Source organism: Homo sapiens, chromosome 16, assembly GCF_000001405.40.
Source record: "Homo sapiens chromosome 16, GRCh38.p14 Primary Assembly".
Lineage (NCBI taxonomy): Eukaryota > Metazoa > Chordata > Mammalia > Primates > Hominidae > Homo > Homo sapiens.
In genome coordinates this window covers 79,777,501-79,803,316 of record NC_000016.10, presented here as the reverse complement: position 1 = coordinate 79,803,316, position 25,816 = coordinate 79,777,501, and the positions used below count along the sequence as shown (strand labels likewise).

General features: G+C 40.9%; 2 long non-coding RNA genes across 3 annotated transcripts in view; one reads left to right on the top strand and one right to left on the bottom strand.

The window, feature by feature from the left end:
• The window catches only part of LINC01228 (long intergenic non-protein coding RNA 1228), a 29,316-nt gene extending 23,834 nt beyond the window's left edge, over positions 1–5,482 (top strand). The window contains exon 2 of the long non-coding RNA NR_170199.1: positions 4,808–5,482. This is a non-coding gene — a long non-coding RNA (long intergenic non-protein coding RNA 1228). The remainder of the gene's footprint in view (positions 1–4,807) is intronic.
• LINC01229 (long intergenic non-protein coding RNA 1229) overlaps positions 1,974–25,816 on the bottom strand; it is a 30,873-nt gene continuing 7,030 nt past the window's right edge. The window contains exons 1-4 of one of the 2 annotated variants that reach the window (NR_104661.1): positions 8,020–8,068; positions 6,519–6,564; positions 5,587–5,826; positions 4,227–4,878 (exon numbers count right to left, since the gene is read on the bottom strand). This is a non-coding gene — a long non-coding RNA (long intergenic non-protein coding RNA 1229). Of the gene's footprint in view, positions 2,145–4,226; positions 4,879–5,586; positions 5,827–6,518; positions 6,565–8,019; positions 8,069–25,816 lie in introns of those variants that run through there. The other variant, NR_104660.1, reaches the window with a different exon arrangement.

Below are 25,816 nucleotides of genomic sequence, written 5' to 3'. Positions count from 1 at the left end.
TTAGCATACTTTACGTACACCTGGCTATAGGTATATTACTCCTCATTTAAAAAACTAAATAAATAATGTCACCTGGACCAGTGGCTCACACCTGTAACCCCAGCACTTTGGGAGGCTGACGCAGGTGAACTGCTTGAGGTCAGGAGTTCAGGATCAGCCTGGCCAACATGACAAAACCCCATCTCTACTAAAAATATGAAAATTAGCTGGATATGATGGTGCGTGCCTATGATCCCAGCTACTCCGAAGGCTGGGGCAGGAGAATCCCTTGAACTTGGGAGGTAGAGGTTGCAGTGAACCGAGATCACACCACTGCACTCCAGCCTGGGTGACAGAGTGAGACCCTGCCTCAAGAAACAAATTAAATAAATAAATAAATAAATAATGGCAACAAACGTCAGGATACTTTTGCTATACCAAAATTGCTTAATTCCTTCTTTCATAACTGCAATCTTCTTCTTGGTCCAATTTAAATAACAACAAATGGCCTTGGTTAGATTTCCTAGGTGTTACGTTAACAAAATCAGTTCATCTACTCTGATGTTGGTAACATGGACCTGTTACTGCAGAGGACAGTTGTCATATGCTGCATCTAGCTTTGACCCAGTAGCCATGTGACTTGGGTTGGTATTTTGGCTTTGCTGTATATTATCTATGGGACCTTGGGCATGTCACCTTACCCTATTCAAGTCTCAGTCCATTTATCTAGGAAGTGGGAGTAATATCAGTATAACCTCATAGGGATGAAATGAGAAAATATATGTGAAAGTGGTTAGCTCAGTGCTTGGCACAGAACAAAATTTACCTAGCCATGGTATCGAGAGAATTAATACCAGTATTTGTGCTAGCATAAAGAGCAATTGCAAAGGTAGTAACAGAATTACTAGAGTCACATTGACCTGTGCAGACCATAGCCTAGACAGCTGTGTTTTGAGCTACAAGGATCACAGTGAGGGGAATATGAGTGCTGGTAGTTCTAATGATATTGCGGCCATATCATGTCAAAATGGAAACCTCCATTCTGGCTGGGAAAAAAGGGAATGTGGCCTGTAAGATATTTGCTCCTGGATCTGGAACAGCCCATAATTAAGGTAGGGCATTTATCCATGTTCCTGGTGTCACCAGACCCCAAAATAAAGCCAGATGTGCCATGTTCCTGCCTGCACCCCCACCTGTGGTTCAGTGGGCAGATGGATCACATAATTCTCCATAATGATTCTCCCCCAGTGGCTGCCACAGGACAGTGTGTGATTACTGTGCAGAAAAGGAAACCAGGGGTTAAACCTTGGTGGAACCCATGTCTGGTTAGATCATTTATGTTGGTAATTACTTTCCGTCACCACAATGGAGTGTGTCTGGTTGTTCATTATGGGAAAAGTGATTTGCTGTGGTGTCCACATGGAGAAGGCTGTATGACTCATAGGTTGGGACCCAGATCAGGGAATGACAAGTCCTGGATAGGGCTGATTCAGCCTGAGATGTTGCCACGTTTCCTGACAAAGCTTTAACACTCAGAGGTAAGAAAGGCGTGCACTCAATTAGCACTTAGAAGATAGATGGATGATTCTCCCAGCAGGTCGTACCCTTAGCAACAGCAATGGAAGCTGCCTTTTGTGTAGTACTCACTATATGCTAAGCACTTATGTGCAGTGTGGCATGATGACCTCGCATGGTCATCTATTCTGTCTGTCTAGGCACAATTCATCCCCACTTTAAAGATGATGAAATGAAGGATTATAGGAATGAGGTCAAGCTTGTAGGTAACAGAGCCAGATGTCAAACTCTATCATGCAGGATTCTCAAGTAGGTGCTTCCCAAGAGGACCTGGCTGACTCTTTGAGAGTCTAAACTTCTGCTGGCTCTGACTAGGCTCTATACTGAGGCTCTCCTTAAGGATGATCAGATTGCTTTACTCAAAGGAACTTTGTCTGTATTGGGCCAGTTATCCTTGTCCTATATATCAGCTCTCAATCTCCAAACGAAACATTACATTTATTCATGCAGGGTTGTAAGTTGATGGTGGCTTCTGGATTTTTCCAAGAAGGCTGACCACACAAAGAAAAATCTTCAGGAAAACGCAGATTCAGAATAACTCAGCTTTTACAGGTGAAATCTCACACACATTTTTAGATTCCTAGAAGATCCTAAGATGGAAAGAAGAGATATGAAACCTTACGTTGGCTCCACCGAAACACAAGCTCACATCTCAACGCACTAAAGTACCACAATAGTTTGACACTAAGACAGTATCCAAAAGCTTTGATGACAGAGCCCAATAAATAAAAGTAGTTACAATTGGCTCTTATGCCTAGTATACAAGATGTGTTCAGTGAAGTGTAGTAATTGTTTGTCATTCTGTAAAAGATAGATAGGTATTAGTTTTTATCTTCTGCAAGTGAGCCAAGAGCCTTCTTAAAATAATTCAGCTTCCAGACAAGACTCTATCCCCCACGAGAGTCCCACACACCATTTTGCATGGAGGGTAGATTCCACCTTTGCCCATGGGCATCAAGTTCTCCTGGACCAAGTTGAAACCCACTTCTTCTACAGAATCATGGGAGCAATGTGTCTTCCAACCAGAGGATAGAATCAAGCTCTTCTTAATGATATGGAAGACTGGAGGAAAAAAACAAATGCACAAGCATTTGATTGAGAGGAACTTATGCCTAACTTGCAATGGAATTTATTTATTCCCATCCACTCTGGGGCTGCTAGGAGCCACTGTGGCTGGCTGGTGTAGGGATATTCTCCACCAAGCCATCTCCAGGGGCTGCAGACATGCACTCACAGAAACAAGTTGCATGCATACAGAGGGTGCTATGGTGGCCTGAGATTGTAGCAACTGTGCATTGAGAGACACTAGAAGTTGAAAAAATGGCAGGCAGGGGTGAGTTGCAGTCACATGTCCCAGATTCACATCTGGTTAGAATATTTTTAGCTCAACACATTTCTCGTCACTGAAACTGAGCATGAGCTGTCACATACATTTCAAGATAGGGCCAGACTTGACTCTGTTTCCTATTTTTCAGCAGCTAAAGGCCCATACTTCAGAACTCATTTGGGTGATTATAGGAATGATGAAGTCATGACAATTTCATCATCGGGAAGGCCTGCCATGTCTTGTAAGTGATTTGATGTTTACATAGATCGGGCTTGGAAAATAATAAACTCTCAGGAAAGATATGGACACATCTCCCTAAGTCACAGAGAAGAAAATGCTAATTGCAAGGAAGAAACCAAAGCAATGTGTCCCCAAAGTTGCTCTGTGGAAGCCCAAATGTAGCTACCTTTCATGAAAAGACAATGGATGCCTATCATAGCATCATTTTAGAGATCCTCAAACTATATCAGCAAACAAAAGGCTCTGAAGTCCAGCAGTTATAAAACCTTCATGGCAGGATTTCCAAGTCTTTGCTCATGAAAACGTTTTTTTGCCCAAGGAACACCTATTACCTGGAATGACTTCTAGGAAATGCTGGGCAACAAAATGGCTTGTGTTGTTGCAGACGTCCAGAAAAATATTTTCTCCTAATTTGCAAGTCCTTAGAGGTGCCTCCCAAACAAAAGTCCTGCTGAATAGATTCTATCTGGCAATAATTAGTTCACACTGATTTTCAGAGAAAGAACCAAGAGGCTGGAGTTAAATCACACTCAAAAATAAAAGAAATCCCACTTCCGGGTATATCCCAAAGGAATTGAAATCAGTATATCAAAGAGATAGCTGCACATTAACGTTCATTGCAGCATTATTCACATTAGCTAAGATATGGAATCAACCTAAGTGCCCATCAACAAATAAATGGATAAAAGAAATGTGGTCTATATAAACAAAGGAATACTATCAGCCTTTTAGAAATAGTAAATTCTGTAATTTACAATAACATGGATGAACTTGGAGGATATTATGCTAAGTGAAATAAGCTAGGTAAAGAAAGACAAATACTGCATAATCCCACTTGTATGTGGAATCTAAGAAAGTTGAGTTCAAAGAAGAAGAGAGTAGAATGTTGGTGACCAGAGACTGGGGAGGGGTGTGGGTGGGGAAAAGGCAGATATTGATCAATGGGTACAAAGTTTCAGTTAGACAAGAGGAATAAGCTTTAGTGATCTATTGCACAGAATGATGACTATAATTTTTAAAAATGCATTGTACATTTCAAAATTGCTAAAAGGATAGATTTTCAATGTTTTACCAAACAAAAAAATACACATGTGAAGTGCCAGACTTGGTAATGAGGCTCATTTTATTACAAGGTAGCCATATCAAACTATCATATCTTACCTTATACATATATACAATTAGTATTTGTAAATTAAAATAAATATAAAAAAAAATGAATGCTTAAAATATGAAAGAGAAGTTCTCAACTTTCTTGTGATTGCCATTCAAGTTCCTTTCTCGGAAAGGAAGTCAAAACTCCAGGTAGAAGGCCAGCTGCAACCTTCAGAAAGTTCTAAGCAGGGCCTTGGTCACTGACCGTGGTTCTAAAGTTGGAAGAATAAGTTTCTAAGTCCTTTTTCCTTTCTTAACTTCAGTGTAACTTCTAACAACTTCCTTAACCTCCTCAACCCTCCCCATCCTGATCTTTAAAATGAGAAAAATACAGTAATACCAGCAGCACCTACTTGTTTGATTCTCATGTGGATAAAAGGAGGCAACAGAAGGAGAACTGTGAGCCTGTTGTTAGCATCCATCCAATCCATGGTGGCTATTAGGACAATTGGCCATTTGTGTTACTCTCCAGTGTTCCCATAGCAAGCTGCACTGAAACCCTTTAAATGGTGAAACTTCATTATTTTTTTCCAGGGCAATGAAGAAGGTGGCAGCCAGACTGAAGGGAAGAGGGGCTGCAAGACTTGGAGTTGGTGATGGCAACCCTGGAGAGGAAAGGAACATGGCCAAGAGGTTGGGATTCATGCTAGATCAAGAAGGAAGAACCCAGAAGCAGCCCAGAGGCTTCACAGCTACATAAGAAAAAAAAGGGGGCCAGGCACGATGCCTCATGCCTGTAATCCAGCACTTTGGGAGCCTGAGGCGGGTGGATCACGAGGTCAGGAGTTCGAGAGCAGCCTGACCAACACAGTGAAACCCTGTCTCCACTGAGAATACAAAAATTAGCCAGGCATGGTGGCACACGCCTGTAATCCCAGCTACTCAGGAGGCTGAGGCAGGAGAATCCAGGAGGCGGAACTGCGGTGGGCAGAGATCACGCCACTGTACTCTATTCTGGGTGACAGAGTAAGACTCCATCTCAAAAAAAAAAAAAGGATGTGACTATTGCCAAAACCAACTTGTAAAACATCACCATGATATGTCACCAAGCTACCTACGAGATGCTGGGCATACCTTCGGTGGAAGAAAGAAACAGCTATACAACTTTGGGTTGCTTCATTTTTCTCTTGCATTTCTAGTTCAGGTTGGTTTTGGTGTTCTGTTGTTGTTGTTGTTTTGCATTCCAAAAAAAATAAAAAATAAAAAGAATTGCTATCATGTGAGCCTATGGGTTTTTCAAGAATATGTAGCCTGCTCATTGCTTATATTACATGGGGCCTGGGCATGCAAGCCCGAGTGAAAGGAGTACTCACCCCTGCTCAGAGTCCACGAGGGGTGCTCAGATGGGCACTTGGGAGGTGGGTCGGGGCTTCACTTGTGTGTGGGTTTTCCATGGTGCTGTAACAAATGATGAGAAACTGGGTGCCTTTAAACAAGAGATGGAACCGAAGTGTCGGGAGCTCGTGCTCCCACTGAAGCCTCCAGGCGAGAATCCACCCCGGCCTCCTCCAGCTTCTGGTGCTCCTGGCCTCCTTTAACTCCAGGCAGCATCACTCAAGAACACAATGAAAATAGTATTATGAGACCCATTTTACGAATAAGGAAATTAGAGCCCATATTGATTAAGCAATTTGTAAAAACGTGCATAGATGTTTAATGGTGAGAGTGGAATTTGAATTCATGCATGAGTGGCTTTAAAGTTCGTACCCTTAAGCACTAGTTCAGCTGTTCTCAAACTTAAATACGCATAATAATAGCTTAGGGGAACTGATTCAACATAGGTTTCCAGCCTCAGAGGATTTGGAATCACTGGTATGGAGTGGAGCCTGAGAATGTTCATTTTAGCAAGGAAGGTGATCTTGGCGTGATTCTTAAGAATTACACTCTGTACAGAAAGTTACACTGCATGCTAAGCTCACGCCCAAAGTAGGGCGACCAGCTGTCTTAGTTTGCACACAGAAAGTCTCTCATGCCAGGGAAACTGGGATAGCTGGTCACCCCGCAGGCCTCACTTGAACCTACACAAAACACTTTTAGCACAATGCCTGGCACATGGTGGACCCTTGAAAAATATTTGGGGAATGAATGAAGGAAGGAAGGAATATAGCTCCCAGTGGAAGCCTAGGGTTGACTGGCTTGGCTTCCCTGCAGCAAGAGATTTGAGGAAAACTTCAAAGGCTAACTCAGAGGGACAGCTTCGCCTGCTGCCCTGAGGAGCTGGTCACAGCCTTGGAAAAAGTGGTACCTCATCATGTTCCCATTTGTGCTGACGTGTGCAGGCGACGCTTGTCCTTAATGCAAAAAGAAAGGAGAAGAAGGCTGCAGTAAATCTCTTCTGTCATGATTACTCTTCCTGCCTTTTCACTGTCTAAACCCTCTAAACCCTCAACCCTCCCTTTTCCCTTCTGCAGAGAGACCTGTCTACTGAGCAGTGGGAGGTGAGGGAGGGACCCTGGCATCGGGAGAATGAATTCCGTTCACGCTCAGCCTCTGACCCATTGGTGCTTCTTCTTGGCAAATCAGTGAACCTGTTGGGACCTGAGAAATGGCACTGAAAAGCTATGGGGATTGAACTCCTTTCTTTTTTTTTTTTTTTTTTTTTTTTTTTTTTGAGACGGAGTCTCGCTCTGTCGCCCAGGCTGGAGTGCAGTGGCGGGATCTCGGCTCACTGCAAGCTCCGCCTCCCGGGTTCACCCCATTCTCCTGCCTCAGCCTCCCAAGTAGCTGGGACTACAGGCGCCCGCCACTACGCCCGGCTAATTTTTTGTATTTTTAGTAGAGACGGGGTTTCACCGTTTTAGCCAGGATGGTCTCGATCTCCTGAACTTGTGATCCACCCGCCTCGGCCTCCCAAAGTGCTGGGATTACAGGCGTGAGCCACCGCGCCCGGCCTGAACTCCTTTCTTATGTCACAAGGTTGGCCTGTGGTATGTGCGTGTGGACAGGACTATGCTAAACCAGCAAGGCTCAGATAATAAAATGCAGTTCTCTTAAACATCCATTCATTCATCATTCCCTTATGCAATGGGTGGCTTGAAGGCCGTGTTCAGAGCTAAGGCCAGCACAGGGCTTTTGGAATCTTACTAGTTCAGAACTTCTGTTCCTTGAGGAAGACTAGCATGTAACAGATAATCATATAGACCAGATACATAATTATAATCATTACATCATGACGTGTACTAGAAAAAAAAAAAGACAGATTCATCAGACCACCTAATATGGGGACCTGACCCAGTCTTGTGGCTTATGGAAGATTTCCCTGAGGAAATAACATTAAGATGAGGTCACAGGTTGAGTTGGAATTCGCCAGGTGAAGAAAGGGTGGAATGGCATTCTAAGACAAGGAAACAGCAGGAGCAAACACGTTGTTACAAAGGATAGCACAGTTTTTCAATCCATCCATTTTTTTATGTTTCCCCTCTTGCTCCCTCTCTCCCTCCTTGTCTTGTTCTCTCCTTCTCCTCCATGTCATTCTAACATCTTTCTCGTTTTACTTCTAACGTGGTCAATATACATTCATCTGCTTACTATTGGTGTTGTTAAACAGATATTATTGCTGGATCCCCAATTGGCACAAATGCTGTGATGGACTTTCCTTCCAAATTTCCATCTCTAAGCATGCCCCAGCATAAACACTGGCATTCAGTGGTGTGAAAGAAAATACAAGGCCACAAAAAAAACTCCTCATTCCATTGAGTTTTGCATTACATTGCAAATCACTCAAAAACACTATTTCTGGTACTGACCTTGAAACAGCTTCCGAGGTGTCTTGGGCTGCTGGTGGATCCTGAGGTCTTCAGGTGGGCAAGGCAGCCACAGTTGAGTTGGTTCAGCTTGCAGATTTGGTAAAGAGCTTGGAAGACATTTCCCCTGGAGTAGAAACAAGTGGCATCCTTCCAGGAGAAACAGAACTCTTTTCACGTCGTTCGCTCTGATTTGTGCTACATTAAAATAAACCTTCAGTGTCAGCTTCTGGTGCGAGCCTTAGGACTCTTCTAAATGCATCATCTTCACAAAGACATTTTCGGTGTTAATCAACAGAGCGCCATGGATTTGACGCTCTGGTATTGGAGTACAGGTTTTGCAGTTATTTATTTACTGAGAGGGAAACAGAACAGTGGTTCCATTTGCCACTCCTAAATTTATTGTCAGTCCTTCTGCGTGGGGTAAAATTGTTAGCCGTCTTCAACAGCTCTCAGAAATAAGCATTCCAAATATATTCGCCTACTGTACAAAGATGTGCTGATGCCACTCCTTGCAATTTTGCCAGAGAGGATGGGAAATAGTAGACGTAACTGGTAGGAAATCAATCTTGGGAAGAAAACAAAAACCTAGGACTTTTGCAAAGGCTATGAAATAGCAGGAATTGCAAAGGTGCTTCCTGGCACAGCCTACTTAAAAATGCCCGGGTTAATCACTACAGGCATAAAACAGAAGAGAAGGAGTGTTCCCATATTAACACAGTGGGAAAGGGCAATAGGATGAACTTTCTGTGTAAGATGGTCCCAACCAATGATCAACCAATGGGCCCACCAGCGCTTCCATCTGCATCCACTACCTGGCAACTCATACCCTTCTCTCTTCTCTGCCAAATGAAAGAAAAATGGTCTGATACCGGCCAGAAAATTAGAATTGTGTAAACTGAAGCAATCTGGAAGTCCCCAAACCTTTCTGCCCGAGGGAGAAACTTCCCAAAAACAAACAGGAAGTGGAACAGGGATTTGCAACTATTTTACCACCCAAGTCAAAGGTGTGCTGGAGTAGAATTGCCCCAGGTCACGGGAGCTGATTGGAAAGATCTCTTCCCAACTCAGCATTCAGTAACCTCTTATCGGCAGCGTGAAATCGGCCATGATTACCAATCAGGACTAAGCTAATTTATCAGCACACTTCTGCCTAACATCTACGGTTATCCACTTCCTACCCCTAGATTATATAACTATTTATTCATTCATTTAATTCATATATATTGAGCCCTTATTAGGTGCCAGCCCTCTGGAATAGGAAATCCAGTCCCCATTTTACACATGTAAAAGCTGCAATTCAGAGAAGTGAGTTGACTTGTCCAGAAACACTTAGTGCCAGCCCTCTCCCAGGCACTAGGAATACAGGATGAAAAAGACAGATTAGGTCGCTGCCTACGTGGATTTTAGATACCATCCCCTTTAAAATCTGCATTTATTATATAATTATTCATTTATTTTTCATTTTTAAGAAATGGCATGAAAGCATGTAAAACTGCCCAGTGGAACTTCCGATCAGTTGAAAGACGCAATGTGGTCACAATGAACTAAAGTCCTGTCACAAAAAGTAAAGGCATTTTATATGGCTTTGTGGGTGTTGAAGATGTCTAAGTGTGTGTCTGATTTTCGTTCATATTGCCAGTCACCAAAAAGAGTCATAGATAAGCCCTCGGGGTAGGACTCCGAGTTTCCATTTTATACATGTGAAATGGGAGCGGTTACACCTTTAAGAAGTGGGAAGTGCCAATATCACATCTTTAGGAAGTGGAATGGGAATAGTGATTGACACCAGAGACCCCCAAAATGAGGCTACATATTCCCAGGTAATTTGTAAATTAAAAAGTGCTTTAAATTGTCACCACCGATTGCCATAATTATTAGCGGCTGGCATTGTTATTACTACCACCTAAAAGCATAAGGTCTTCTAATACCAAACCTGATCCTGAGCTTAGCTTTCTAGAAGAAAGAACCAATGTTAAATTTTTAGGTGTTGCTGCCTCCATAGCAGCCCTCCATAGAATTTCCTGGAGTGGTAGGGAGGCGATGGGGGAGAAGGGGGGTTAGACAGCCAGGATTTTCTGAGGGCCAGTGCTCTGCAGTGTCTGAGATGATAAGCAGACGGAGATTCCATTAGCACCACTGATCCAGCATTGGGCTTTAGCCAACAGCAGACCCATCACGAGACCCCGGGCCAGAGATGAGCAACAGCTGCTAGAAACCGAGGCTTCTCTCCCCATCCACACAGTAAACCACTCTTCCTAGCGAAACAAAATGTTCTCATTTAAAATTATTTATTTATTTTTTAAAGAAAGCCATGCGAGGCATTAAAGTTGTGCTGAAGTTGGTTGTGTTCAAAAACTCCACAAATGATAACAAATGTTTTTATTTTATTTCATCTTATTTTCCAAACCATATGGATGTGCCAGCTCAATGCATCACCGCTTGTTTATGCCACAGCAGCTGTCGGCACCCTGATAATGCTATATAGCATCACTCAAGTGCAAATTGCCAAACCAATGGAAATCATCTCACAAATTGAAAAAAAAATACAAATGAAAATAAAACCCCACTTCAAACAAGATTCCAACTGTAAACTTCTGCAAGAAAGAGTGTTGGGTGGGGGCGGGTGGTGTGTAGAATCCTATAAGTAGTTTTAAAATTCAGTATTGTTTTAACCAGGATAAAGTGTGACTCGTCTGGTTAATCACAACTAGTATTTGACCTTTACAAAGGTACAATTTATGTTTCATGGCCAAGTGCAATTTCGTGTTTTCTTTTTTTAATTATAACACTATGATTCAGAAGTCAGCCGCAAGAACAGAGTTTGGAAACTTGATTCCCTATAGGTTTTAGGCACTTTTTATGTATTTATTTGTTTTGACCATGAAAAAGTAACCACTCATGACAGGGGTAAACAGCCAAAGACACACATCTCCGCCTGGTGTCCTAGAATCACCCGAAACCTTTATTAAAGTCAGTTCACATGTCCAGCCCCTGCGTCCTACATAGATGAGAATAAGTTAAGCAGAGGATTACACTACAAAGAAAAGTCCTCCAGCTGGAAGGAAGCGAGCTCTGAAAGAACACATAGAACGTTGCGCTTGTGTTTGGCCTCTGTGAGCCAAAATTCTACCTGCTGGAACTTCCTTTATTGTCAATATTTTATGCTTTCATGCTGCAGACAGCTAGAAAGAAAGAGGAAGAGAAGTCATAGGCACAGCCCTTCAATGCAGGAGGCACTATGCATGATCTCATTCAATCCCTGACTTCAGCGATGTAGGCAAGATTTTGCCCATTTTATAGATGCAGAAATGGAGGCCTGGAGTGGAGAAGTCACTTGTCCAGGGTTGTTGTGAGTTGAACTGTGTCACCCAAAATATGTGTTGAAATCCTAACCATTAATACCTGTGAATGTGACCTTATTTGGAAATAGGGTCTTTGCAGATATAATTATGATCCAAGTTAAGATAAGATTGTACTGGAATAAGGTGGGCCCTCAACCCAACGTGGCTGGTGTCCTTATAAAAAAAGGAGAAGAGACACACACACAGAGGCAAATGTCATGTGAGATATGGACATGTACAGAAAGAAGAGGACAGAAGGACACATGTGAACACCATGTGACAATGGAGGCAGAGGTTGGAGCAATGTGTCTACAAGCCAAGGAAAGCCAAAGATTGTTAGCAACCACCAGAAGCTAAGAGAAAGGCAGGAATCAGACCCTCCTCTAGAGTCCTCAGTGAGAGTGTGGCCCTGCCGGCACCTTGATTTCAGACTTCTAGCCTCTAAGCTGTGAGAGAATAAATTCCTGCTGTTTTAAGCCACCTCATTTGTGGTAATTTGTTATGGCAGCCCTAGGAGATTAATACAAAGGTTAATATGGTTCAGACATCTTACAATGGCCGGATATCTTTTACTCAAAATGAGAAAGAGAAATACTCTTGGCTGGGAGCAGGGGCTCACACCTGTAATCTTAACAGTTCAGGAGGCCAAGGCAGGAGAACCACTTGATCCCAAGAGTTCAAGACCAGTCTGGGCAGCATAGTGAGATCCAGTCTCTGCAAGTATTTTTAATCAGCTGGACATGGTGGTACTCTCCTATAGTCCCAGCTACTCAGGAAGCTAAGGCAAAAGGACACTTTGAGCCCGGGAGTTTGAGGCTGCAGTGAGCCATGATCCCACCGCTGCACTCCAGCCTGAACGACAGCGTGACCCTGTCTCAAATAAATAAATAAATAAATAAATAAATAAATAAATAAATAAATAAAATATATAGAGAGGAGCAATTTCTATGCAGGAATTTTGGTGCATTTCAAAGAATTTCAAAGATAAAGGAGAAATATATGACAGGGAATGGGAGAATTAAGGAGCATTCTCCATAGCTGTATTCATGACTCGGTATTGAGAATGCCTTCTCCATGCCACGTGTCTCACCAGGTATTGAGGATTCAGAGCTGAGTCCATGGGCCCTGCCTTGGAGAGCTTAGCGTTCGGTCTACAAGGCTGGGTAGTACTGGAAATGCCAGTGATGGATTTTACAATGCAGCGAGGCACTGGAGGCATTCTCACTAGAGAACTCACCTTTGCATTAGACTTAAAAGGATGAACAAGATAGTGCATGATGGAGAAGGCATAGAAAATTGCCAAGCAGATGGAGCTCTTTGAGCAAAGGCCTAAAAGCAGAAGGTTGCTGGGTTTAGTAACAAAAGAAAACCAAATTACAGAATTCCAAGCTAAGTTTGAATTTCAGATAAATCATGAGTTTTTTTTTAGTATAAATATTTGTTATGCAATAGTTGGGACATGACTTATACTAAAACAGTATTCATTGTTTATCTGAAATTCAAATTTAATTTGGCATGCTATATTTTCTCTGGCAATCTGATTGAAGCATGAACAGGAGCATTGTGTCCAGAGAACCACTAAGGGTTCCATATAACAGGGGGAAAGAACAAAAGTGGGCAAAAGTCTGGCAGGAAAAGAATCTGAAACAGCAGGGGAAGACCAGGTCTTGAAACGGTTTCCATGCCATGCTATGGCAGTGGAGAGACAACATTGTGGTTAAGAACCTGAACTCTGGTGCCAGAATGCTTGGGTTTGAACATCACCTTCACTGTTTACTCATGATATAAACTGGATCCTCAGTTTACCCCTCTGAAACTGAGTGATAAAATAGCATCCAATCCAGACCATTGCTGTGGCAAGTAAATGAGTGGGTACATAGTAAGCATTCGGCCATGTTAAACTGCTTTTTTTGACACTGGGCACATGCTCATGTATAAAAGCAAGAAAGAAATGCTTCTATCCAAATCAAATTGTTATCAGAAGTTGATAGACAAATATTGAGAGCACATACTGTGTACTTGGGATACAAATGTTTATGATAAATTCTTTGCTCTCCAGAGGTATGCATGTGTTTGGATACAAATTACCTAGAATATCAACTATGACAGTAGGTTCAATTATTTTTAAAGTACTTGTTGCCAGCTATGATTTGTTGGGCACTTTCTACGTACCAACTCCACAGCCAAATGCAATGGAGTCTATCAACTCTGACAAGCTCTTTACAAAATTATCTGGTTTAATTCTCATAAGAATTGAGTGATGTTGGCATCATTATCCCCAATTTATGGATGAGCTAAACCAGAATGGAGATGGAATCGTAACAATAGGAGTTTGGATGCCAAACGTCAGTGCAGGCAGGAGCTGAAGACATCTTCTTCTTAATAGAATGGGGGATGTTTAAGGCAGAATTTGATGGGTATGTGGAATTAGATTAGGTGACAGGAAGGGTGGTGATTGAGGAACAAGTGCAAGTAAAGATCCCTGGCAGTGATTCACGCATTGGGGTGGTGAGGCAGCACTGAGGAGGAAGGTTGATTGATGCAGAAGCCACGTGTTAGCAAAGAGAAGACTGGCATCTTTGCAGGAGGGCCTCCATTGGCAGGGTGAGTGGTTTTCTGTGGCTCTGGTGATCTGCTGCAGGTTTTACAGAGAGGACAGACAGACTGGATGCCTGAGCTAGTTCTAAATGACAATCTGGAAGCAGGGTGGGAGCCAGAAAAGTCAACCTCTTGCCGAGACTCATCCCTGGCCAACGGCTTTCTCAGGTTGATTTATTTCTCTGGAACCAGTCTAGCCAGTGTGGGAGCTCTGGATTCACTAGCAGTGAGCCAAACCTGTGAGTGCCCAAGGCCTGATATATCTACTTGCCCTCCTCTCAAGGGATGTGACATCATCCAAGCACCAGAATGGGTCATTTTGATAATGCGCTACCTGGCGTCATTTGGCAAGAAAAATCCTACCAAAGAGAAACTGCACCCCAGTCCGGGGACCTATGAGTAGTGGGTTTAAGGAATGAAGAACCGTTTTGCTCACATGAGAAATATGTGGGTCTCTTCAAAGGCAAAATGGTTTTACAGGAGGATAGCGTTCTTTGAAATCTTAACATTTACTTAGCAAACAAGGTTTACTCCTCATTGCATGTTGCAGTTCAGATTTTTTCCTGGGTTTAAGACTTAAACCAATTAGTGTGAACACATAAATCTCCATATTTTTCAACACATGTTTATTCAGTGTCTATTTTGTGTTAGTTTATTGAGTATCAATTTTATGTCAGGCACTATGTTCGACTTTTACATACTCTTTGAACATTAGTACATTCTCACTTAATCCTAATGGCACCAAGAGTTAACCCTATTTCATAGATAAGAAAACTAAGATTCAGAGAAGTTAAGGGACTCATCCATGATTAACTAGCCTGTAAGTGACAGAGCACAGACCTTGAATACAGGTCTCTTGACCCTAACCCTTACCTTTTTACCCACTTTTTATCTTTACAAAGGATTAAAAGACAAATAATGTTCTCTATTTTCTAGATGATGAAAGAAGAGAACTATAGCCTGATTTTTTATTGACTCAGAGAGACAGAAAACCCTCTCAGAATATCCTGCTCTTCTGAACTCTATCAGCTTAGAGATTCATCCTGAAGTATTCCTATTGCCAAACACATAACACACATACACAAACACACACACACAACTGAAGCTATAAAAACATCTTTACTCTTCAAAGGGGTCCCGGAAACAGCTTGAAATCAAAGATGCCAATCTTTTAACACTTTGTCCTAAGAAAATGTGGTGGGTAAAAATCATGGCAATGGGTTTCGGGTAGTGAAGTTAACAGGTGTCTCTTACTCTACATAGTAATTTCTTTGCTAGAAGTTGCATGTAAATTGATTCTTGCTTAATTCGATGTGATTTAAAATTCACTTGCAAAACTTTAATTGAAATTAGTTCTACAGCATCTTGGTTTATAAGATGAATAGTCCTTTTGTAATCTGTGCATTTACAAATTGTGATTCCTTTAAATTGTGTTATAGGAAACCTGTGACTATCTATCTGCTAGAGAGGTTGATCATTTATTTTTTCCTCTTCTTGGAAACAACTCTAACTTAAGATTGGTCAATCTCAAAACATTAAGAGATGTAAGTCTTCTAAGTCTCCATGAGGCACGTAATATAAACTCTTTTAAAAAATTCACTTGCAGTTAGGTGTAGACATTCCAAGTTCTTGGGTCTCAGTGTTCCCATCTAAAAAATTAGATTAAATATTCTTTTCATTAACTTATATTTCTGTCAAATGCTCTCACATCTCCCAGGCTCTCTAAGTCAGAGTTTCTGGATACAGAAGTATAGCATAGCCTAGAAACGATGAAGAGACTCCTTTTCACACACATGAAAAACGATAAATTCTAACTAGGAAAGAGAAATGATAATAAACAGATTACTGGAGCCGCCTGTTTGCAGAACTTTTATTATTCAGACAAGAATGTCAAGCTGCATAGAATTCACTCATCAGAGTCCTTACTGCAGACTTAAGCTGCATCCAGAGAGAGCCAAAGAGTCCACGAAAATAGCAGCCATTCAAAGATCATCTCCTTTCCTGACAAAAGCTCTCACCAAATCAGGTGCAACAACAATGTATGTCGACATAATAAAGGCCATATATGACAAGCCACACCTAGCATCATGTTCAACAGTGCAAAGCTAGAAGCTTTTCCCCTCTAAGATCAGGACAAGACAAAGATGCCCACAGTCACCACTGGCATTCAGTGTAGTACTGGAGGTCGTAGCCAGAATAGTTACACAGGAGAAAGAAATAAAAGGCATTCAAATCAGAAAGAAAGAAGTACAGTTGTCTCTACCTGCAAAGGAGCAATAATTTGGGGGTGGTAGTGCTAATGGTGATGATGGTGATAAAACTGATGATGGCAATAGTGGTCATGGTGATGGTGATTTTGGTAGTAATAGTAGTCATGGCAATGATGATGTTGATGGTGGTGGTGGTAGTGATGATGATGGTGCTGGTAGTAGTGATAATGGTGGTGGTAATGATGATGGTGGTAGTGGTGGTGGTGATGGTGATGGTGGCTGTAATAGTTGTGGCAATGATGGTGGTGATGATGGTGGCTGTGATGGTGGGGATGGTGGTTATAATAGGTGTGACAATGGTGCCAGTGAGCATGACAGTGCTGGTGGTGGTGGTGATGGTGGTAGTAATGATGGTGATGGTGGTAGTGATGGTGGTGATGGTGATGGTAGTAGAAATAGTAGTTGTAGCAATGATGATAGTGAGCATGATGGTGGTTGTGGTAGTAACGGTGATGGTGATAGTGGTGGTGATGATGGTAGCAATAGTAATTGTGGCAATGATGCTAGTGATGTTAATAGTAGTGGTGGTGGTGGTGATGGTGATGGTGGTAGTAATAGTAGTTATGGCAGTGACGGTGGTGATGATAATGGTGGCGATGATAATGATGGTGATAGTTGTTATTGTGGTGGTGATGGCAGTGGTGATGGTAGTGGTGGAGGAAATGGCATGGAAACTGTTATTTTAATAGCCTTGGAACTAATACATACTCTCATTCACTGCCCTTGATTCAGCTTCCACTCTCCCAACACTCAACCTCTAACCAGCATCCTTCTCTTGGTGTCTCCATACAACAACCCACCTGATATAAGTCTATCTTGTCATCTCCCTTTCTCGTTATTCCTCTTTTCAAATCTAATTCTCCAAGCAGAGACCTGTCTCATCTGCTCCCACTGAGTCCAAATACTTTATTAGTGCCCCTGTATTTCTATTTCTGCCATGTGCACTATTTTTTCTTCTCCTTTTGATCTTTTGAAATGACTTCATTGATTCTACCATCTTTTATTTACTTTCAGACCTGTCTTCTGTGGATACCATCATATCGGAACAGTCTTCTTCTTTTAAATGGTCTCCAAAATTATTTGGCTATATGGTGTTTCTTTGGAATAAGTCCTAAAATGGCGAAATGTTTTCTCTTTCTGAAACTTAATGTCTGTCATAAAGGCCTTTATGCACTCCTAAAAGCTCCCCTCTCCAGTTCCAGAAGGCATCTGGACTGGCGTAGTCCACCTGTCATGATATTGTGCTAAGAAACTATTACTGCTTACATATTCTCCTTCATGTTTTCTTTTCTAAAACAAATAGCTGAACCAGTTAGAGAATCCTAGCTCCTCCAGTACATGCAAAATGCCCTTTCTACTCTCTTCTATTAACCGAAGTTTCTTTGGACTTGGGTCTTCTCTTATGTCATGAGTTTATACCAATACTCTGTGAATCTAGGTTTAGCATATACAGTTGTTGTCTATGCCGCACTGTGATCTTGCATATGTTAGATTCTCCTCATCCAAAAATCACTTTTAAGGATGGCTGTTGGAGTAAGAAGTCAGTGGGTGACTGAATGAGCAAACACTGATTCAGTGCTGTAGACCTAGCACAATGGTCCGCATCCATTGGGCACTCAGTATTTGTTGACAGACTGACTGATTGACTGAATGAATGAATGAAAATGAGGAACTCAGAAAGAATGAGAAGACATGTTCCAACCATTCTCCTTGAGATGATCAGAAAAATTGTTACAAAGGAGGTGAGGCGATTTGCTTTTGGTGGCTAGAATTTGGATTGACAAAGAAGAAATGGATAAGGTGATAGGGTCCCTAGGAGGAACAAATAGGATATGAGGATGGAGGTAAGAAGCAAGTCTCATCTCTTTCCATGAGAATATTTCCAAATACAGTCTCCTTCTCTTCCTCCTTTTTCTTCTTCTTCTTGGATAATGGCTCTTTTCACTTCTTTTTTTTTTTTTTTTTGCCTTTTATGTATTTATTTATGATTGTTTTAACTTTTATTTTAGGTTGAGGTGTTTATGTGCAGGTTTGTTATATAGGTAAACTGCTGGTGGTTGGCTTTGGTGTACATATTTTGTTGTCACCCAGGTGATAAGCATAGTACCCAATAGGTAGCTTTTTAATCCTCACCCTCCTCCCACCTTCCACCCTCAAGTAGGGACCGGTGTCTGTTGTTCCCTTCTTAGGTCCATGTGTACTCATTGTTTAGCACCCACTTTTAAGTGAGAATATGAAGAATTTGGTTTTCTGTTTCCTGTGTTAGTTTGTTTAGAATAATGGCCTCCAGTTCCATCCATGTTATCGCAAAGGACATAATCTTGTTCTTTTTTTATGGCTGCATAGTATTTCATGGGATATATGTGCCACATTTTCTTTATCCTCTAATCAAATCATGCCAAGGCCACTGACTCCTAGAAGGTGCCTGGAGTGAATAAGGTGGCTCTAGCCATTTTCCCGTGGTTTCTCACAATCCACCAGGACTCAGCCGTCACTTGCCTGGCCACATGCACAGTGGTTCTCAGGGGCCACTGTCAGTGTTTTATATTCCCACAGTCTCTGGCCCCATTAGCATGGTGACAAAACCTCCACTGTTGGTTCCAGGTGGTGACCCCTTTTTGGTTTCTATCACATTGCTAAGCTCCTGAAGAACAGGGAACCCCCGGCAGAGAACTCTTCTCTTCACAGGCTAAGGGAGCAGAAGTTGGTGAGCAGATTAGCTCGTCACTCAGCAAGGCAACAAGGAAAGAGCTTTGCTGTCTGTTCAGACCGAACGCACCCAACTCATACTGTCACACTGAAAGTTTATCTCCCCAACTAGTTGTACATTCCTTAGAAGCAAGGACTCTGTTTCTTTCAACTCTGTACTCCCACAATGCCTAACACATGGTTTGAAAACAGTAAATATTTATAAGAACAAATTGGTGAAAGCTTATCCCTTAAGCCGGCCTGAAATGAGTCATCATCAATGGTGCTTAGGATGATACGGTATTTGAGACTACAAGCTTTGGACCCAGAGGGACCAGGGGTTATGTCTTGATTCTGATCCTGTTGAATGACCTTGACCTTGACAAGTAATTACAATTTTAAGTGTCAGCTCCCTCATCCACGCAGTAAACACACCAGAACCTACCTCACAGGGTCAGATGAGGATTAGATAAGACAATATACTTAAAATGCCAGATAGCACCTAACATATATCAAATGTTTAGTAAATATGGCCCACAGTTATTCCTTATGTTATGGCTTAAATATATAGAGTATAATCCAGAAATACCCATAATAAGGCCATTCCCCTGTTCAACTTCACAAAGATGCTCAAGATCAAGGCGATCTAAGATGACAGACCCAGCAGAAATGGAGGTCCCAAATGATGATCTTGAGACCTCTCAGACAAGCAGAGGTGCAGGGAAAGGTAAAGTACATGGAGTCGAGATCTGAAAAAATAAGAAACTTAGGCCCCTCTTAAATTACCTTTACCCAGCATTAATCACAAAGGATGCAGCTTAAGGTCTATTTTTACACCAACACTAGAGGTCATCGACAGTGGACATTTCAGATTTTTTTTCTCTACTTCTCAAATTACTCAGGACTCAAAGTGGAAAAGACGACCTGTTGGTTTGCTGACGGGATATTTTAGGCAAAGTCATGGGGCACTGACTTTTCTCTCCTCAGGACAAAGTAAAGTGATGCTTTGTCAACCACCTGGCCAATTTTGTTGCTGTCGACAGTGGATCCTAATAACATGGTCGGCAAAGTAGGCTGGGGGCTCCTGTGTGATCTACTTTAGCTCCTGGATTCCCTATACAAGCTGTCTCCACTGATCAGATATAATCGAATAATGGCTGAAATTCTGCATCTCCGTGGGCCCTACTGGCCATTTCTTTATGACATGACCAAATTGGCCATAGCGCATTCAATTTGTTTTAATGGCCAACACAGATGCAATTAAGCGGATTGACTGTGCAGTGATCCAAATTGTCCATTAAGAAGGTGGCCGAAATAACTGGACCAAAAGCCTGTATCCCCCATCCACTTATTTTGGGATGTCTAGACTTGGCCACACCTTTAATTTTCTTAAAACCCCTGTTAACTAGCTCTGTTTAATGTTGATGCTACAGTGTTTTTGAGGATGAAATGAAGCAGGTTTGAAAAAATAAAAAGATATTTTTAGGGTTATTCTAAACCTTCTGATCTGAATAAAGTAATAGGAAGTAAGCACCTCATTCGAGCTCTGAAGATTTACAAGGATATGAGAAATTAAAGGCATTGGTGCAGATTGCTACTAATACTCGTTTTATGAGGAGGGATTTATCTTCTCACATTAGCAGCCCCCAAGGTTTCGATCTGTCTATATAATATGTACCTGCATTTGAACAATTGACAATTGACTTCATCTGTTCCTACTTTGCTAATTCAATCTGTGAAGAATAACTACTCTTGCAGGAATTTTAAAGATGAAAAACACATCCATTATATTATTGAATACAATTGATCTTTGAGTACCTGTGTATGGTAAGATATATGCATTTGATTCCTTTGTACAACTATCAGACAGTCTATATAGGCAGTCTCATTTATTAGGTAGAGGCAGAATGTGTCTGCTAAGGTATTTTCAACTAGATACTTAGCAGTACAAGACCAGTTATTGCTAACAGAAATAGGCAAAAAAAAAAAAAAAAAAAAAAAATGAAAAAAATCAATCTGATCTATCTTGAACTTTCATGTTTAAAGTCTCCATTTTCCATTTCAATGAGCATTTTTCTTTTATATATGTGTCATCAATAGTCATGGGCAAAATCCAAAAAGAGATGCATCAAAACAGAGTAACAGCAAATAAATAAATGCATCTCAGCTGCCTTCCAAGCAATATATTTCTCCCATCATTTGCTATAATTACTAGTATCTTAGATCAATACTGTGTTTTTTGACTTTGAAAACACATTTTCACTACAATCTCATTTTATTCTCCAGGACTTCTTCTAAGTCAGGCGTGGCTATCCCCATTTGGCTGATGAGGGAAGCACAGCAAAACTGAGGGGCTTACCAAGATTACATGGTAATTAGTGGCAAATGGAGGAACTAGGGCTGCTGCCTTAGAGCCTTGGTCCCCCTCCTGAGAAGGCAAGGAATGCTCTGTAGTCACACTGACTATCTAGGCCCAATTCTCTTATAGACTCAGAGGAGGATGGTTCATCTCAACCATACTATCCCCAGTGTCTCAATTCTCTTGATCCCAAGCACTTTTCTCAGAGGCAATATGGTGTCATGGTTAAAAGTGAAGTATCTGGATTCGAATCATATCTTCACTTTTCTTGGACATAAACTAGAGATAACAAAAGCACCTACCTCATAGTGTTGTTCTATACTATCTCCTGACTGGGCTTATGAGTTCTCTCCTGTTGACCAGTCTATACTGATTGGGCCACTATGAATACCCAGCATTCAGTAAATATTTGTTGAATGATTAAATGAGAAATAAACAGGATGAAAATGTCAACCGCCTGTCATATAGTCATAAATACTCTACAAATATTCGCTATTGCTAATAAAAGTCTTTGTAATAGATTATATCAGAAAGACGGAGCCTTAGTTTCTTTATCTCTAAAATGGGCTAAATAATATTGCTCTTTTAGGGTTGTCAGAACTATTTTAGAAAGATCTATACAGGGTGCCTGATATGGTATTTAGTCTTAGTGCTGCTGAGCTGTTATTATTACTGTTGGTGCTGGTGGTATTTAAACACTTTGGGATCCCTCTAAGATTTTACATATGTAAAGAAAGTGAAAGTGGAAAAGAAGCAATTCAAAAAGGCTATTAGTCATTGGGCAAAATTAAAAGAAAGAGGCATCAAAATAGAGTAGCTAGCAAATAAATAAATATATCTCAACTGCCTTCCAAGCAATATATTTGTCCCACCATTTGCTAAAATTATTAGTATCTTAAATTGATACTGTATTTTTTTGAGTTTCAAAATACATTTTCACTGCAGTCTCATTTTATTCTCCAGGACTTCAAAGCGTTCACCATATACCACATATTTAATGTACAGCACAATAACTAGTCTATGTGGAAAATACCTGTTTTGCAGGTTACAGAAGCTGAGGCTCAGCCCTGTGCAAGGTCATGGCCGATAGAACTTGGGTGCCATTGTGCTTTTCTCCAAAATCTTTGATTTTTTTGAACTATATGTCCCTCGACTAGTGCTCTTGCCCTTCCCCATACTGAAGCATATTCTTCTCTAGGAATTTAATGCAGAGGCAAACTTTGAGAGCAGAGGCCATGTGAGGCTATTGTAGTTGCTCCCCCATTGGTTTGCAGGTAAGGCAAGGACTAGCATCAAATATCTGACATACAGCAGAGGCACAGTAAATATCTGCTGGATGATTAATAAATTCCTCCTTATCTGGGAAGAAGATCAGAGGGGTAGAAGTCTCAGGGCCTCCTCACCTGCCTTGGGTATCAAGCAAACCCCAGAGGCTCCATGAGAACTCAAGACCACAGTGGATCTCTGTCATGCTATTGCTACTGCAAACACTTTTCAGGATATATTTCATATTTTCTCTCAATTTAGAACGAGAGATTTCTTTAGCAGCCCTACATTAATACCTTCCCTTCTGCTCTGCCCCACAGCTCCAGCATTCAACAGCCCCCAGTAGACCCCATTTGTAACACACGGCAAATTTAATGATACTTGCGAAATATGAACCACCTCCTCAACTCTTCTATTTTTTTTTTATGGTGACACAATTAGCCAGATGACGAAGCTCTTTAAAATGAAAGAAAACACTAAAAAAATATTGATTTTTCTACAAAGCCATAATATTAAAAGTATCATTCCAAACTGAAGTGGGGACTAATTTAGAGGCAATGCATAAATCTAAAACTATCTGAGTATGGTGACAATTTTTTTAAAAAGCCTTAAAAAATTACATATATGGAAACTTGTCTATCATTAAATTACTTGGTTTGGATTTCCACTAATAAAATATAAGGACTTGTTACTATATTAGGCAAGTCACTCCCATTATTAATTTGTTAGATAAATGGCTCCTCTATCTTGCACCTTTAAATGAAATGGAATTCACTAATCCTAATTGCTTTGCCTTCTACTGGAATTTTTTCCCATTAGTTCAGCATGTTTTTTTTTTCTTCTTCTTCTCTTTTCCACTTGAAGAGGGGAGCCTTCTTCAACTTAAAGCCTTAGGGTATACTTTATGGGTTTATTAATTATCAGGTATTCATCAAAGGGGTTAATTAAGCAATAACTTTCTATTGACTGCAGTATACAAAGAATTAAAGGCTTGAATTCACCTGCTGATTAAACACCTAGTGACCGTGCCTTCATGTTCCTCCCTGTGGTTGGGTGAAATAAAAATCTTTGACCAGTTCTGGTCATGGGTTGCAAGGCCACTCAGGAGGACAGTTAAAACCAGTTTGTATTTACAACTCACGCTACCTTGAGATTGCCCAGAAAGAGAAAGGACTTCTGCTTCTCAGGGTTTCCAAGGAGAAATTTTGTCCCTAGCATCTTTGGCAAGAATCATCATTTTTTTCCTGCAGCATGCTTTTCAGCAATAGAAGGTGAAGGATGATTTCCTTCCCCATCTCTGAGGAGTTTTATAAAATTAAAACAAGTCAACATAATAACCCCACAGGGGTGATAGTAGTTTACACACCAATCTTGGAATTTTTTGAGATCATTTCAAGTTCAAGGTACATCTAAGCTTCATGCCCAGTGGTTGCAATTCTCCAGATCAAACTAGTGACAGAGGCATATCATACTTTCAAGGAAGATGGGCTCTTTGAAGACTGACCAACAACTCATCAAACAAGGGAAGAAGGAGATGAGTGTTCACTCAGAAGTTTCCACAAATTCAGCTTTTAGGAGGGAATAAAATAAAGCAGCTTTAAAGTCATGGTCTTCGGATGTGCTAGGATGTTCTTCTGAGAAGAGAAAATAAAAGCACAGTTCATGAAAAACCCATTCAACAGATGCTTCTGATTCACGGCCAACCCTACCCCAAAATTATGTGGTGATAGGAAGAAACAGAAAACTGCGTCCTTGGGTCCCCGGTATCATCCTTTCCTACTCCTTCCTTTTCCAGAATAACTCAAATGTGATGGTACTTTATCCAGGAGGACCTACAGCATACAGTAGGGTGTTCACAAACATGGATATGGAATGATTTGCACTTGGATTTGAGCCACAGTTCTCCCATTTATTAACTGCGTGACCTTGGGCTGGTTATTAAGTTATCTGAGACTCACACACATACAAGCCCATTCATTCCACATAAAAATTTCATAAGGTAGATATTTCTCTAGTTTCCATATAATTGATGAGGAAATGGAAGAATAGGGCATTTAAGTGGATGATCCAAAGCCACTCAGCTATCTCAAAGGTTGAAATAAGATCAAATAAGACGCATGTAAAATCTTTGGCGCAGGACTGGTCCTACTAAGCACCTGATAAATGTCAGAGGTTGCTATTATTATTACATCACTCTTGTCAACTTAGCCATCTTTTTCTTAGCTAAATATACTCTAAAAGAAATAGGTACATACAGGGTAACCATATCTTTTTTTCTTAAAATGTAACAGAAATAAATCTATTAAGTTTTGCATGTAATTTTGACCTCACAATACACACATACGTACACACACACACACAAATGCACGCATACCCACACAACTAATCTTGCTCATAACTCTGTATTTTATAAAATGTGCAAAGCATTGCTTTTAATGGCAAAAAACTGCAATTACTTTTGCACCAACCTAATATCAAAAACACGTAGAGAATCCATTCTCTGTATAGGGAGATGTACATATATAAGACCACATAAAACTATTGCAATACACACCCTCGAGAAATGACATCATGGTACTCACAGTGGAGAACAAAAATCCATATGCTATAGTGACTCTCTTCCAAAGAGTACAGTATAGAAGGTAGGGGACATGAGTTACTGTACAGTGGGAAAACCTGGCAAACAATACTTCAGCCAGGTAATCCAGGTCAATGGCAACAATTTCAAATCATGTTGATAGTATGTGCCCTTGATGTGGTGTGATGAGAAGGGCATTTTACCTCTGGAGTCTTTCTCCCAAGATCCCTTAAATGCAGTTCAATCATGAGAAAGTCATCAGAAAAAATTCCAGTGGTGGGACATTTAGAAAATAACTGGCCAGTATGTCTCAAAACTGTCAATGTCATCAAAAGCAAGGAAAGTCTGAGAACCTGTCCCAGCTCATAGTAGTCTAAGGAGATACAGCAACTAACTGGAATGTAGAATATTGGATTGGATCCTGGAATAGAGAAAGGATATTAGGGGAAAAAACATGGAAATCTGAATAAATTAGGGACTTTAGTTAATAACAATGTATTGATATCAGTTTGCTGATTGTAACAGATGCGCCACACTAATATATTAATAATGAAAACTGTGTGCAGGGGGAGGGAAACAGGTAATATGAGAACTCACTACTATCTGCCCAATTTTTCGGTAAATCTAAAACTGTTCTTAGTTTATTAATAAAAAATATAAAAATAAATTTTTAATAAACTTCAAGAATGCGTATAGC